We start from the raw sequence: 17,081 nt of genomic DNA, 5'->3' as shown, positions 1-17,081 counted from the left end.
CCCTTCCCACTTGTCCTTGACCCTGGTCCACTCCTTTTCTCACCTCTCCTCCACTCCTCTCTCCCCTTCCACATCTTCCTCTTCCCCATCCATGCACTTGGCCTTTTCCCAACTCCTTAATTTTCCCTCCTTTCTCAACCTTCCTCACATCTATTATTCTTACCTCTTTCCTCCCTCCACACTTTTCCATACTTCTCTTTTTACCATCCCAATCTTTCCTCAGCATTAAAAATAAAGGCTGTTTTCTTTTGATAAGCTGAGAGAGAGTTCCCCATGCTGACACAGTATGATTCTTAATACCAGTAATAAATTCATGGTCAGTTCTTCCCGGATATGCAGGAAATTAAAGTTGGGGTGAGGGTAGGGAAAGAGTGAAAACAAACCTGAAAAAGAGCTTCAAGTCCATTGAAGAGAAGTCATTAAGTACTAACAATATAAGATAGTGCACTAATCATAAAAATTAACACTATAGTATCCTCATGCTAGAGAGAACATATATGCTTTTTGGAGACATGAAAATGGTTTGAATTCTGGATATGACACTTACTAACCTATGACAGGAGAACACAGGAAACCTCTCAGTTCAGCTACAGAGTGTAGGATAATGTAGATAAAAGATCATAGCACAGAGTAGGTTTTTCAGACTTTAGCATCTAGTTGGTAGTTAGTAAAGACAGTAAGATTAGAGACAAGATAGGTCAAATTTAAATAATGTAAAAATTCAATATTTATTAACTGCACATTTTTTTGAGTGTTTCTGGGTGTTGACCACATGTGAGATCCAGAATTCAATTCAGGTTCTATGGACTTGTCACTGTCATGTGCTTATAACTCCACTAAAACTAAAAAGTAGATGAAGTTATCCTTTGGCATTATCAAGTTAACTTAACCCCATCCAAACATCTAGAAACAGCACTCCTCACTAGCCACTGCCTTTCCTGATGGGAGCCTCCTTGGTGTCACGCACCTGTGTCATACATAGATAACACTCTCATTCCTAGTCATTGATTTTCCTTTGACTTCCATGACAATCTCTTACTCAAAAAGCACTACTGGCAGAAATGCTTGATCTTTCCTTCTGTTAGTAGATGAAGGCTCTGAGATGAGAAAGTTAAACTTTTATTGCCTCCTCCAAAAATGTTTCTGTTCATCAGCTTCCCTCACTCCTGGCCCTTTTAGTTACCAAAGCTAACTTTGGTAACAAAAGTTACCTCTACCTGTAACCTTAATGCAAGTCTTTAAGCTTCATGTGGCACTTAAAACCAATCTATCTCTCTCTCATCTGTGCCTGGACTTTCTCCCTTGTTAGAAATTTTCTCATCAGTTTTAGGAAATATTCAGGTTTTTCTTGTTTTGAAACAAACATATCCACTTGGGCCCCCCATTCCTATGTATTGAATGACACTTCTCACTCTCTTTCTCCTCCCATCAAAACATCTAAAAAGAGAACTTCTCACTAGCCACGCCTTTCCTGATGGAAACCTCCTTGGTGTCACACACCTGTGCCACAAGTAGGTCACACTCTCATTTTTAGTCATTGATTTTCCTCTGACTTCCATGACAATCTCTTAGTCAAAAGACCTTCAGTCCTCATCAGAGCCTGATGAATTGAGTCTAAATTACATAGTCTGCCTCCTGTATTCTTCCTAACTTTCAGAATGCTTCTCCTCACATCTTTTCTGCCATTTCCAGGTCCCACTCCTTCAACCTCTCTGCTCCTCCAAAGGCTGCATTCCCATCTCTCATCTTCTGTATCTATGCATTCCACCTTGAGAGCCACCCCTCATTCCTTATGCTTCAGCCTCCCACCCTCTGCTGTTTATCCACAAATGTCCAGGTCTAGCCAATTCCCTCTCCTGAGTTTCAGATTCTGCAGTGCCCACTATCTGCTGTGGAGCTCTATTCAATTATCTGTTGTAATTTCAATACACCTAGAAATCAGTTCTTCATGTCTCTTCCAAAAATAGCTCTTTCTCTGGGCCTTACAATTGCCAGAAATGGCACCATTGTCCTGGTAGGCACCTAGATTCTCCAGCTGATGGACTGTGGAGGCCTCTCTCCTCCTTGGTCCTCACGCTTATTTCTGTGCTTAGTTTTTTCAACACTGCCTTTACAGCACTTCTTAGGAAGCCTCACCCCCACCTGCCTGGGTTTCCACTGCCCCTTCCCCAGTTCGGTGCTTCTTGCCGCTTGCTTGAATTGTCTCAATAGTGTGATTTAAGAATCAGTGGTCCACAACCTTTTTGGCACCAGGGACCACTTTTGTGGAAGACGATTTATTCATGGACCTGGGTGAGGAGTGGGGCTCAGGATGATTGAAAGGCATTACATTTATTGTGCACTTTATTTCTATTATTGCATTTCAATTTATAATGAAATAATTATACAACTCACTATAATGTGGAATCGGTGGAAACCCTAAACTTGTTTTCTCGCAACTAGATAGTCCCATCTGGGGGTGATAGGACAGAGTAACAGATCATCAGGCTTTAAATTCTCATAAGGAGGGCACAACCTAGATCTCTCACATATGCAGTTCACAATAGGGTTCCTGCTGGTATGAGATTCTAATGGAGGCAGAACTGACAGGAGGCAGAGCTCAGGCGGTAATGTAAGACTGAAATGGGGAGCTACTGTAAATACAGATGAAACTTTACTTGCTGGCCCATGGCTTACCTCCTGTTGTGCAGCCTAGTTCCTAATGGGCCACAGACCAGTAGGAACCTGATCAGTATGGCTTTGGGCAAGTCACATCACCTCTATGAAACTCAGCTTTGTCATCTGTCAAATGGAGAGGTTGATTGTGACGATTTCTAAGTTGCTGAACTGCTCTGATCTAGCTGAATTTCACTTACTTCCAGCAAATCTCAGTAATGGTCAGAATATCTGTAGGCTATATTTTCAACAGAAGGCTATATGAACACTATGGGGTTCGAGTCCATGGCCCAGGAGTTTGGAAACTGCTGTCTTAAATGATCTCCCTATCTTTAGTCTCTTACCCTCCCCAACCTTCATCCCACATAGTTGCCAATTTGTATTGCTGAGGCTCAAACATCACTCAGCTCCCGAAAATGCTACTGAATAAGTATCAGCTCTTTATCCTCTTGTTCAAATATCTTCATACTCCTTCCCAACCCAGCTGTCCCCATGTGTTAAGTGGCTAATACATAGGCACTGTGCTGACTGATATATGCTTCTGTGTGTGTATGTGTGTGTGCACCTGTGTGTGATGATTACATTGTCTGATGAATAGTAAGTGCTCATCCCATTGTAGGTTCTCAAAAAATAGTAGCTGTTTTCATTATTACATTGAGATCCTTGAGTATCAATTTCCTGTTTCTTTATATAGCAAGGGGCAATCATGTATAATTCAGTGAAGTATTGTGAGGATCAAACTAAATCATATATTGATAACGCTTCGCACAATATTTACTCAGCATATGGTAGGCACTCCGTTGATAGTCCCCTTTCCTCTCCCATGACCCTGGGCCTGGTTAGCTATTTTCTAATGCTTTAAAACTGAACTGGAGACTCATACATTCATTCAAGTGTTTATTAAGTTATTACAATATCAAACAATGCACTGTTAAAACCACACAGAATGGGACAGAGAGCAAATGCTGTAGAACTGCAGTAAAAATGATAGCTTGAGCATAGAGTGAACTTAAAGTTGATATGACAGTCAAGCAGACTTAGAGTAGAAGTAAAATATACACAAAGCCTGAAGCAAATCAATTTGACGTTATTTATATGAAAGAAAACTGTGTTACCTTTTCTGACCAGAGTAGAAAGTTTCATTTTGATCTGTTTCCATTTATTTGTTTTTATTAAGAGAAGGTGTTTAAGCCTTCTTGCCGATAATTCTAACTAGCACTTATTGATCGTTTATGAAATAATGTCATATGTGTTATACATTTATCCTGGACCCATGAGGTAGGAAATTTCACAAATGAAAAATGGAGAAACAAAGAGCTCATTTACATGCCCAGGACACACAGCTAAGAAAGGATAATGCTGGCACCTACTAAGATGACAGACACCAAGATCTCTGAAACTACTACACAAATATTTTTGTATTATTCAGATTACATATGTGCATATCTATTTTATATATATAAATGAATCTATGTATCTATGTGTATATACATATGAGCGTATATGTACACATGCACATATATACATATGTTGTTTAGGACAAACTTTGGCACATGGGAAATGCTGTTCACTAGATATTTCCATCTCTCCCCCCTTCAGACACATGGAAGAACTACACTTCTCTGCACTTCCATTTAGAGGTGATCATGGGACAGCCTTCAGTGAATAAAATGTGAGTGAAATTGACACATATCCATTAGATTCTCGTAAGAAGTGCCTGATGTAGCTGCAACATGTCAATTTCAGATGGAAGCTTTGAGGGCTGGCACCTCCTTCAGTCTTGTTGCTTTTCTTATGCCATGAAGACCAACAATAATCTAGACCATGGCTGTTTCACCTGTCTTGGTACTAAGAGGTGGCCTGATGGAGCAGAATCCCCAGGAAACCCTGGGTCGACAAGAACCATGAGTGAGAAATACACCATTGCTGTTTGGAGCACTAAGATGTTGGAATTCTTTGTTATTGCAGCATAAGCTAGCTTCTCTTGACCAACATTGTGTGGTGATAGTTGTGGCTGTTGTTGTTACATTATGCCATCTCAACTAGCGTTTGTAAAAAGAAAGCAGAGATGCCCAGGTTGAGCCTGCAATGTAGCATATATTGAAAGTTCATTCTACAGATTATGAGGTGCAACTCATATTGCCTTTATCATACTCACTTGGATATGCTGGTGACTTTAAGTCAATCCTGGGAGGAGAAAGGAGAAGGGATGCAGGCAAAACTAAGGCTATTTAATCGCACTTACTAATTTCAAGGTAAAAGTTGGGTTTATAGCATTATAAAATGAAAAAGTACTCCCTTGCCTAACTCCTTAGGAGACAGGCCTAAATGTCATTCTTGGTTTATTTCTCTGGGGAATTAACTGCTTGGATTCCTTCAAAGTTTAATTAAATTGTCACATAACACATAAAATAGCAAATAAAACAGGCTTTTCCTGTGTCCTGGTGTTAATTTTATGTCATCAAAATTGTTCAGCTTGTTAGCTGCCTAACTCGGGCTGCCCTAGTTACCAATTAAGGGTTCTGTGTGAATGCTTTTCCCCCATTTAAACACCAGCTCTGCCTGCACACTAGTTAAACTTTTCATTTCCTTGGGGTTGCAACTACTAATTTTCTAATAGGTTCTTGGTCATTTAAGTTTTATGCTGTGCAGTTTTTTTTAGCGAAAGAACATCTGAGAAGTTTGGCTCAGGGAAAAACTGTCAACAAGCTGAAGTGTCTGTGGCAAAAGACTTTACATATTATCAGCTCTAACCTGCTTATTGTGTAGATGAAGAAACTGAGGCTAAGAGGAATGGTCTGAGCTGCCAAAAGCCATGATGAATAAATGGCAAGGACGGAGTTATAATCCAGGAAAGTGGATTCTAAGGACCATGCTCCTGTGAATATACACAGCTTGTGTTTTGTTCGATACCCTCTTCTCTATTCAGTGATATTTCCTAACTGAGGGTCTCATCATCTCTTATGCTAGTGATGTCACAATCTTTTTTATTAGCCTTCCTGGATATACAAACACCTTAGGTAGGAACTCTTATCTACTTCCTATCCATCCTCTATCTTCCCTTCCCCACAGCTCAGTTTCCATAAGAACAAGAAGCTTTCTATTCGTTGGTAGGCTATTAATTATTGCCTCTATTTCAGATTAACCAAATATATGGACTGCTAGCCAGACTAATAATAAAGAAGAAAGGAGAGAAGAATCAAATAGACGCAGTAAAAAATGATGAAGGGGATATCACCACTGATCCCACAGAAATACAAACTACCATCAGAGAATACTACAAACACCTCTGTGCAAATAAACTAGAAAATCTAGAAGAAATGGATAAATTCCTGGACACATACACCCTTCCAAGACTAAACCAGGAAGAAGTTGAATCCCTGAAGAGACCAATAACAAGTTTTGAAATTGAGGCAGTAATTAATAGCCTACCAACCAAAAAAAGCCCAGGACCAGACAGGTTCACAGCCGAATTCTACCAGAGGTACAAAGAGGAGCTGGTACCATTTCTTCTGAAACTATTCCAGACAATGGAAAAAGAGGGACTCCTCTCTAACTATTTCATGAGGCCAGCATCATCCTGATACCAAAACCTGGCAGAGACACAACAACAAAAAAAGAAAATTTTAGACCAATATTCCTGATGAACATAAATGCGAAAATCCTCAATAAAATACTGGCAATCTGAATTCAGCAGCACATCAAAAAGCTTATCTACCGTGATCAAGTAGGCTTCATCACTGGGATGCAAGGCTGGTTCAACATATGGAAATCAATAAACGTAATCGATCACATAAACAGAACCAATGACAAAAACTACATGATTATCTCAATAGATTCAGAAAAGGCACTTGATAAAGTAAAATTCAACAACTCTTCATGCTAAATCTCTCAACAAACTAGGTATTGATGGATTGTATCTCAAAATAATAAAAGCTATTTATGACAAACCCACAGCCGATATCACACGGAATGGGCAAAAGCTGGAAGCAGTCCCTTTGAAAACCGGCACAAGACAAGGCTGTGCCCTCTCTCATCGCTCCTATTCAGCATAGTATTGGAAGTTCTGGCCAGGGCAATCAGGCAAGAGAAAGAAATAAAGGGTATTCAAATAGGAAAAGAGGAAGTCAAATTGTTTCTGTTTGCAGATGAAATGATCGTGTATTTAGAAAACCCCATCGTCTCAGCCCATAATATCTTTAAGCTGATAAGCAACTTCAGCAAAGTCTTAGGATACAAAATCAATGTGCAAAAATCACAAACATTCCTATATGCCAATAATAGACAAACAGAGAGCCAAATCATGAGTGAATTCCCAGTCACAATTGCTACAAAGAGAATAAAATGCCTAGGAATACAACTTACAAGGGATGTGAAGGACCTCTTCAAGGAGAACTACAAACCACTGCTCAAGGAAATAAGAGAGGACATAAACCAATGGAAAAACATTCCATGCTTATAGGTAGGAAGAATCAATATCATAAAAATGGCCACACTGTCCAAAGTAATTTATAGATTCGGTGCTATCCCCATCAATCTACCATTGACTTTCCTCATGGAATTAGAAAAAACTACTTTAAATTCCATAGGGAACCAAAAAAGAGCCCATATAGCCAAGACCATCCTAAGCAAAAACAACAAAGCTGGAGGCATCATGCTACCTGACTTCAAACTATTCTATAACGCTATCGTAACCAGAACAGCATGGTACTGTTACCAAAACCGACATATAGACCAATGGAACAGAACAGAGGCCTCAGAAATAATGCCACACAAGTGATTTTATATTCCTCTTTTACTTTCTCCCTTTTTAATTAACACTATTTGTTAATTTTTGTATATTTAATTAACACTATTTTAGAAACAAATAGCACCTCTTCCTCCCCCCTTCTATTTTCTGAGATTAGGGTCAAACTATACCCTGGACCTGAATGGCCTGGCTTGTCATTTTAATTTAGTCAGTATTACACATAGATAGTGTAGGATACACCTGAGTGTGATAATGTTATTGTTTATTTGTGTTTTTGAACAGAAAAAAATATACTTTGATTATCATAAATTCATGCATAGCATCATAAATCCACTCATTTATTTTATTTGACAAACGTTTAGTAAGCACCTACTTCATTTCAAGCCTTCTCTATTCCTTAAGGATTTTAAGATGATTAAGATATATCCCTGCTCCTAAAAAGTTAACAAATTAGAAGAGACAGAACGTAGATAAGTATAATATAATGTAACAAAGTGAATGAGATTCAATAGGGCCAGAGTGTAAAAGAGAGTTTCAGCTTCTTTAGAGTAGGTAAGAATTTTCAGAGAAACTAAACTCAACCTGGTCCTTAAAAGATGAGTAACAACTTGCTAAGTGAAGAGGAGATGACATCTGAGCCCTGTGAATGCTAGCGGGGACAATAGCTGGGAGCTAGGAGAAAAGTGGTGGTTAGCTATTCTCTAGTGCTTTAAAATTGAACTGAAGACTCATACATTCATTCAAGTGTTTATTAGATTATTACAATATCAAACAATGCACTATTAAAACCACACATAATGGGACAGAGAGTAAATGCTATAGAACTGCAGCAAAAATGATAGCTTGAGCATAGGGTGAACTTAACGTTAACTGGCTAATTTAAAGGCTTCCACTTTTTGTTGGGGCCCAGAGTTAGAAAGGCCTCTATAAGAGGTCCAAAAACCAGTGCAAACCTCTGATGACATGAGCTTTATGACCTGGTGGATTCCATGGTGTTGAGATATTAGTAGATTACAATAGTGTGAGGGGTCTTCAACAAGCCTATTGGGAAAGTCACAGTGCAGACCTAGAATTCTAAAGCAATGCCATCACCTCTGCAGAAGAGAAATACTCTCCATTTGAAAATCAGCTTCTGGCAGTGGAAACAGCATATGAACAAAAACACCAAGTATTTATGCTACTGATGTCTCTTCTTTATCTCACCATGGCCTAATAAGAGAAAGTGGGATATTTCGTATCATCAATTGACAGATAAGAAATAATTTAGCTGCTTCATTAAGCCACACTTTCGGGTTCTGAAAAGCTATATAGGAGAGGTAGATAGGCAGATATATGACCATTGGAAGGCTGTCCACTTGACATGCAGGAAGGGGTGAACTGAGATACGGATATACATTGACTTTTGGGCAGTGGTGAATCACTTGATCAGTTGGTCAAGAGTTTGGTAGACACATGAATAGACAATTTGGGGGAAAAATCTGAGTAAGATGTATAGAAGCAGATCAATAGGACTGACTACAAAGATGTGGATCTTTATGTTTCAAAGTATGCTCACCACAGAGGTTATACCACACAGTAGATACTGAATAGTCAAGTGAAGAGAATAACCCAACCTGTGGATGAGGGCCAGCCTTTTCTATCAGCCACCCCAGTGTGTGTTCATTGCACCCATGAGCTTGTTGTATATGATGGTACAGATAGAATTTATACAAACTTAACAACATGGGTCTTCTTTATCTGGGATGATAGCCATTGGCACTACTGGGTGTCCAACATCCTCAGCAGAGACCAACGTGTCTACTTGGCATCATTCCTCAGGGTGACTAGTGAGCTGCTGAATGGGACATTGACTATGTCAAACATGCTTCACCATGAGGAGGCAGTGTAATCGATACCCACTTCGGACATTAGTTGTCCTTCCCTGACTACATTGCTTCCTCTAGCACTATCATCTAAGGACTTATAAAATGCCTGATCCATATTATCCAACGCAATATTGCCTCATGTGAAAGGAGTAACTTCCTAAACCAGGAAGATGTTGGATCCCTGAAGAGACCAATAAAAAGTTTTGAAATTGAGGCAGTAATTAATAGCCTACCAACCAAAAAAAGCCCAGGACCAGACAGGTTCACAGCCGAATTCTACCAGAGGTACAAAGAGGAGCTGGTACCATTCCTTCTGAAACTATTCTAAACAATACAAAAGAGGGAATCCTCCCTACTCATTTTATGAGGCCAGCATCGTCCTGATACCAAAACCTGGCAGAGACACAACAAAAAAAGAAAATTTTAGACCAATATCCCTGATGAACATCGATGCGAAAATCCTCAATAAAGTACTGGCAAACCGAATCCAGCAGCACATCAAAAAGCTTACAATGGGTTCAGAACCATGAGACCTGTAGGTCTAACCATGTGTCTTATTATTCAGAAGTAGGCAGTCTGGAGGAATCATGGCTTAAAGCTTAAAGGCTCGCTAAGACACCTTCCAACCTAACAATAGTGAGTTTAAACACTGACTTTCAGAACATCTCACTAAACCAAGAGTCAGCAAACTACAAACTACATGGCAAGTAAGGCCTAAAGTCTATTTTTGTAAATAAAAGTATATTGGAACACAGCTATGTCCATTTGTTTACATATTATCAATGGCTACTTTACCACTAAATGGGCAGAGTTCTGTAGCTCCAACAGAGATGGTATGGTTCATGAAGCTCAAACTATCTAGTATCAGTATCATGCCCTTTACAGAAAAAATATATATATTTATTTCTGCATCCATTTAATGGCTGTTACATGATGCTATGTCCTCAATAACTAGAATAAATTAGAATAAATGGGTATAGGAACCATGGGTGTCCTTTGACACTCTTGGCTACTATAAGCATCAATTGAAGTAGTTATAACCTGCTCAAAGACTAGGAATTAGGGGATTAAACTTCTCTGGGATGAACATCTGGGTCACTAGGCAAGCAATCCAGAACAGACAAGGGGCTGTCCAAGGATAAGGAAAATCTTGAAAGGGTCATAGAAGAGAGAGATGATGAATATCAACTATGGCTCCAAGATCAGCTGTTAGGACATGAGCTTACAGGGGCTAGTGTCCTAAACCTGGGGAGTAGGTACAGTCCCTGGGTTTGCTAATCCTAATTAAGTATTTTGAGGAGATTGCTAGGGCTACCACCTCGAAGAATGAAAGAAATAAATGCATGTTGTTCTAGTATCACAGAGTGAGATGCACATAGCATAAGATAGTGAGGGCCTAGAAAGTAGATTTGCATGTACTTCCTCAGATTTTATGAGGCCCACCTGCACCCCAGGTATAGGACACTAGCCCCTATAAATTCATGTCCTAACACTGCTGGCTGTTTCATCCTTCCCAGGCAGAACACTGGGCTTTAGCATGTCCTTTGACATTCCTGCCACTGTATCCCCAACAGCCAGGTCCAACCCAGCTGGACCCACAGATGCTTTGACTCTCCCTGCCTTTTCTGATTTTAGATGAAAGACCTCACCATGAGACATGGGCCTGGCTTTGTCAGCAGCTACTTAGAGAGGTTAGGCAATACCATCTGGAAGTACAGATGAGCTAACACCCTGCGGACCGGTAAAAGACAGAAGATGGGAAGTTACTGAGAAATAAACACCCCTTTCTCCTTGCCTGGACTGACAGCTCCGAGGTTCAGTGCTGTCACTTAGCTTGTCTGAAGCTGTCCCTTGTGCCAATCATGCAGTTGTGCTTCCTGTAAAACTGACCAGCTCCGTAACCTATCTCCTTGTATTTTCTTCCCCTCCTTTGGAGTTCTCACTTTCCCTTTCCCTTGCTGCCCTGGGATTGCACGTCCCAATAAAGCATTAACAGGCTATATTTAGCTCAATTTTTGTTTTCTAGCAGAAAAATAATTAAAACAACCTGCTTGAATATTAATCTTGAGTGAGGCTTAGCCAAATAGAATAATCAGAGAGATTATTCAACATGTTTCACCTCGAAGGCATCCAAGTATTCTTCATTTCAAATTACTGAGACTTGATTAAGCAGAAATAAAATGAAATTTGAGATCAGACATTCCTGATTTCAACACTTGGATCTGCCATTTCTTGGCCTGGCCAAGTCTTTTATCCTCTCTGAACATCAGGTTTTTTTATTTAAAAATTGGAAACAATCATATCTTTTTTATTGGGCAATTTTTCAAAAGTAGCAAGACAGCATATAAAGAACCAGTATATCATTTAGCATGTGATATACAGTCAGTGGGGTCCCAACTCCCAGGTATCGTGAAAGCTGTGGATATCCTAACATCAGAATCTCTAGCTTCCTTCTGTTTAAGTTCTAGACAGGAGAACCATACATTAGAGGGGACACGTGGTGTCTGCCAGGGACAATACATTTTAGGAGTGGCATCCACATGGAAAGGGATTGACATTTCAGGCACCCAAGTGGTCCATTCTCTCCCAAATGCCTGATACCTCTTAGAGACCTTATTTCATTCATCAGGACTGTCTTGCTGGGGGACATCTCCCATGTGCTGCATCTACCTCTGCTCTCCTTTTGTAAGACAAATGAGTAAATATAACTCATAACCACTTTTAGCTGTACAGAAAAAGTAGTTAGGTATTTAATTTGGCAATCCTGCCCAATGAACTTCTCCTAAATCTTAGGATCAAGCTCTGTGAATAAATTATCATTTCCAACCTTCTGTGTAGGATATTCTTTTCCATTGATTCCAGGAATATATCTACATAAATATGAATATCAACATGCAAATTAATGGAAATGAGGCCCAAATGGGGCTAAATATAGGGTTGTAAAAGAAAATTAACTTGTATATGTGAGCATATAAATGCTCTATATGAAAAAGGCATTTAGTTATTGTTCTCTACATTCATGAAATCTACTCAGAAGAAAATTACCTACAAGAGAGATCTTAATTAAACATGAAGTAGAACTACTTGGTTTTCTCAGAATAGGGAGGTAAATGAAAATCTAGAATGGGGTTCTAAGGAAGAGTATGACATCTCTGTCCAGTCCATTTTCACCAGAACATAGAAAATGTCTGGACATCCATATGCCTGGAGGCATGAAGATAGAAAAGATGGCTTCAATTCTCAAGATGTCAAGGCAGGGAAAGAGCTGAGTACTTATGAATTCCAAGCCTTCCCTCTACCCTATTTTATGTGTAAGAAAATAAGGCCCAGAGAAGTTAAGTGGGTATCCTGGGTGGATAGAGCTAGTCAATTTAAGTAGGAAAAGAACTGTAGTGAAACTCACTTGGGGCAGCTGAAAGGTTACTAAAAGGTCTGTGAGCAAGGAGCATTGCAGGCGAAAGGCACAGAGGGTTTCCAGTCAAAGATGTCTCCACACTTTACCCCTCAGGACTCATGCTGTTCCCATGCTGCTGGAATGTTTTGGTAAAAGATAAAACCTGGGGAAAAGCAAGGAAAGAGATGTGGATGGGAGCACAGGGAAGCAAGGGTGAGTGAGAACTCTGTGGGCCAGAGAGGCCCCCTGACAAGTCTGCCCTAGACTGGCCTCATCAGAGAGGTGTGATCACCAGCATTCACTCCAGTCCAGGCCAATTCTAGCCCTGTGGGCATCACCCCATCAAATTCAAACCCAGGTCCTGGAGCTTGCCTTACCAGGACACTGCTTCTACTGCATCACACCTAGAACAACCATAACCCCATAAGAGGAAGGTCAGAGAAATGCACAAACATTTGCCTTATCTCCCCTCTGAGGTGGGAAGTTATTTCTGGAGAGAGGGCAAGGAGCTGTGTCTTACTCACCTAAGTGAGCCCCTTAGTAAGGCTTAATATAGAGCCTTGTTTGTGGTGGATGCTTAAACAAATGCCCCCACACATCTTACTAACTCATTCAGCCTTTACCATGCTTCCTTGGCATGACCAACAAACCTGAAGCAGCATCTTTCAGCAGTAAACACTCAGGTGCCTTACTAGACTTCCTGCCACCAGGGAGCTGGAGTAATTCCCTGTGGCCCCATTCCAACAGGAAGAGCCACTTCACTTCCGAGCTCCTTTCTTTGTTGTTTGTCTCTACCCACCAATCAGCTATAAATTTTCAATAGCCTCTGAATTCCATTGCTTTCCCTTTTAAGAAGCAAAGCATAGCTAAACTCATCTGGACCTTAGATTGGGTCTGCCTTTTCTAAGATGAAAAAGCCAATCATTTAAAGAAGTGAAACAAAAGATCCAGGCAGAGAGTGAGGGAGGATGTGAAGAACACATCCATGGTGCACAGCAATAAACAAGCTTAACAGAGACCTTGCCTGTCCCTTCTGTGTGTCAAGGAGAAAGTGCTCCAGTTTATACATATTCTGGATGGACACAGAAGAGTGAGAAGAGTTTATTAGAAAGACGCTAGAGAGGAGAAGGAAGGTAAGGCAGGCCGAGAAGAGGGAATCGCAAGAGCATGTTGGTATACAGGACGGGCCCTGTTTGGAGAGTCCAACACAACCTCCTGATAGAGTTTGCCTGGATCACATCTTTCAAAGGACTTCTCAGAATTGTGGTATCTGAGCCAGGTGGCCAAAGAGAGATGACTGGGTTACAGAGGGTCCTGCATCCTTCCCCCTTTCACTTACAAGGAACCAGGAACAAAAGAGCACCTTTGCTGGCCCAAGGAAATAAGCTCTGCCTAGGTCCACTTACTTTCCATTGGGTACAAGAGGGAGGAAGAGAAGAAAAGAGAAAAATATGGGCTCTTGCCCTTACAATGGAGAATCCCTGCCCCTGATCCAAGATTATCCAATGTTTGTCTTGGCTTCTAACTAATCGGATATTTCTTCTTCACTTGCTGAGTGTGGTTTGCCCAGAAGTGGTGGGTAGAGTCCTGGCAGGAGCAGACGGCTGACAGCCCACCTCCCCCACCCTTGGTATCCAATATGAACATTTGTCTACTTAGCAATAATAAAGCAAAATGATAGAAATAATAGTGAACATTTACTAAAGCAGCATTGAGGCATGCATTGAAAAGTATCTAGCATATAATACCTACTTCACATGCATTTTAGTAATTATAAAACCCCATGAGGTCTGCATTACTAATATCATCTTTGTTTTATGGATAAGGAAATTGACACATAGCTCTGTGATCTGTGATGCAGAGAAATACAGAATGTCCTGGAAGACCAAGAAGGTGGGGAAGGAGGAGGCTCATATGACCTAATTTGATGGGAACAGATAAATATAATATAAACAATGATCTTGGAGTCATCCTTGACTCCTCTGTCTCTCATTTTCCATTTTCAATTTATGAGAAAATCCTTTCAGCTCTACCTTCAATGTATTTCTACATTCTGACCACTGTTCACTACTTTCACTGTTATTGCTCTGGTCCAAGTCACCATCCTCTCTCTCTAGATCTGCAGTAGCCTCCTAATTGGTCTCTCTGCTTCCACTCTTGCTCCTCTTTAAACTCTTCTCAACACAGCAGGCAGATCCAGCCTGTGAAAATCTAAGGCAGTTCAGACTATTCTGCACAGATCCCTCCAATGGCTTCCTGTCTCACCCAGAGTAAAATCAGTCCTCAAAATGACCGAAAGTTCTGTGCAAAATCTAACCTCCATATTTCTATTTTCTATTTTTCTGTCCTTTCGTTGCTTTTCTTCAGATACACTGGCCTCCTCTTTGTCCCATGAATAGACCAGACACACCCCTCCCTCGGAGCCCTTGCATGGCTTGTTCCCCTTCCCAGGAATGTTCCACCCACAAACACGCCTAAGCTTTGCTGCCTTCCAGTCTTTTCCAGAAAGTCCTCTACCAGTGAGGCTCTCTCTGGGACATGCTGTTTACATTTCACAGCTAATTTTTCTCCTTAGTGCCAATGACAATTTTTACCATATTTCATCATTTCTAAGATTTTTTTTTCATATACTCACATTTTTGAAATCAAGATCTATCTTAGAGTTGATGATGTGTCCTGACTTGTGTTCCCCTAAGGGCAGGCTTGGGTCTGGAGCACTAAATACCAACCCTCATATTCCAGTCATTAAACCCACTACGATTTGTGGTTATGTGTTTGCTCTGGGGTGGGCAGCCAGGCAGATCAAAAGACACCATGGTGTATACAGGAGGTAGGACACAGCAGCACTGAAACCACAAGCATCAACTTTAGCTGGCACATATTTGCTTTGTTTATCATTAAATTTCTTTCTCAGTGGCCCAAAAAATTGTAGCACATCTTACAATCACTGATATCTTTGACTTGATGAAAGATGATAATGTTCTCACTTACTGTGTTTCTCTACCCCTAGAAACTAGTCTTCATGACAGCACATAGTTCTCCAAAATGAATAAAAGCAGAGGAAGCTACCCTTTCTAGATATGCCTGGTACACAGTAGGACTTTAGTTCATCACTGTTGAACAAATGAAGCAAGCGAATAAATACTAAATGCAGATGCAGTAAAATAAATTATCATGAGGTTCTTCCCTTGAAGTTACAACCACAGGCAAGTTTAAAATCATTTTTCAGGATTGTCCAAGTGGCTTTGTGGCCAGAGCTGATTTTCTTGATGTGATTAGTGATATTGGTCTCCAGAAAAGTTCTAACACTCTTAACCCTATGTCTTCCCAAGAAGGAGTTTAGGATATAATCAAAGCCAAGGATGCCACTATGGTACCATGCTGTGGAGTGTGGGTGGCTGGCAAGATTTCTGGGATAGGAGTGGAAGAAAGGCTTTTGGAGTAAGGAGCAAGAGTCAGATGAAGGCACCTGCCTCTGTGTGGTGTATTCTTGCCTTAGAAAGCCTTATGTTCCTTTGAGATGCATTTTTCTTTCTTCTTCCACACTGGGCACTACTGCAGCAGGAAGATCCAGTAGGAGGAGGAGGCCAACTCACCCCTGAAAGGCTGAGCAAGAAAAAAAAAGCCTGGGATAGTAGGCAGCCCCTCAGCTGGCTTATATGATCTTTGGTGTCTTCTGTGGTCTAAGAAAGAAATAGCCCCTTTCCTTGGGGAGCTGGGTTTGGTCACACGAGTTATAGCTATTTCTTCTGATCCAACCCAGCCTCCCAGCACTGGGATTCCCTACAGAGATTACACACCAAAGCGAAATAGTCATAAATGGTGATTTTCTTTTCTTCAGAAAGTCCCCTGCAGTTACTTTCCATATGATAGTTTACATAAATTGGCAGCTGCATGGAGAGAAGGCAGTTTGACATTGCTTGAATATATTTTTCTCTCATTCCAAGGAAACTCTACAAACTCAATATTTATAAAGGAGCAGTAATGTAATTGTGTGTCTAAAGAGCTCCTATCATCTAGATTTCTGTATCTTCAAAATTTATTATGGTGCTACACAAATAATTGATACTCAAAAAATTTGCAAGAGAAAGTAAACTTTAATAATAGGTAAGCCAATACTCACCGAGAGTTTGCCTTGAGGTTTTTTCCCCACCACTTTAAATCAAAAAATTAATAAGCATAACATGGTTCTGTTTAACAGTGGGCAAGTCACTTCTCCTTCTAGACTTCTGTTCTCCCATCTATAAGAATGAAGCATGAGCCATACGATCCTTAATACTCTCCTACCTCTAATGTTTAATAGATCAATGGGATTCAATTTGCCAGACTTCCAATCATTGTTTGTTTTCTCCAGTAACAAACTCAATGGGCCAATGCTGTATCATGTACAATGGACTCAGAGCTGTCAATATATACC

The sequence above is a fragment of the Homo sapiens genome, chromosome 8 (assembly GCF_000001405.40).
Source record: "Homo sapiens chromosome 8, GRCh38.p14 Primary Assembly".
NCBI lineage: Eukaryota > Metazoa > Chordata > Mammalia > Primates > Hominidae > Homo > Homo sapiens.
Note: the sequence above shows the minus strand (reverse complement) of the source record.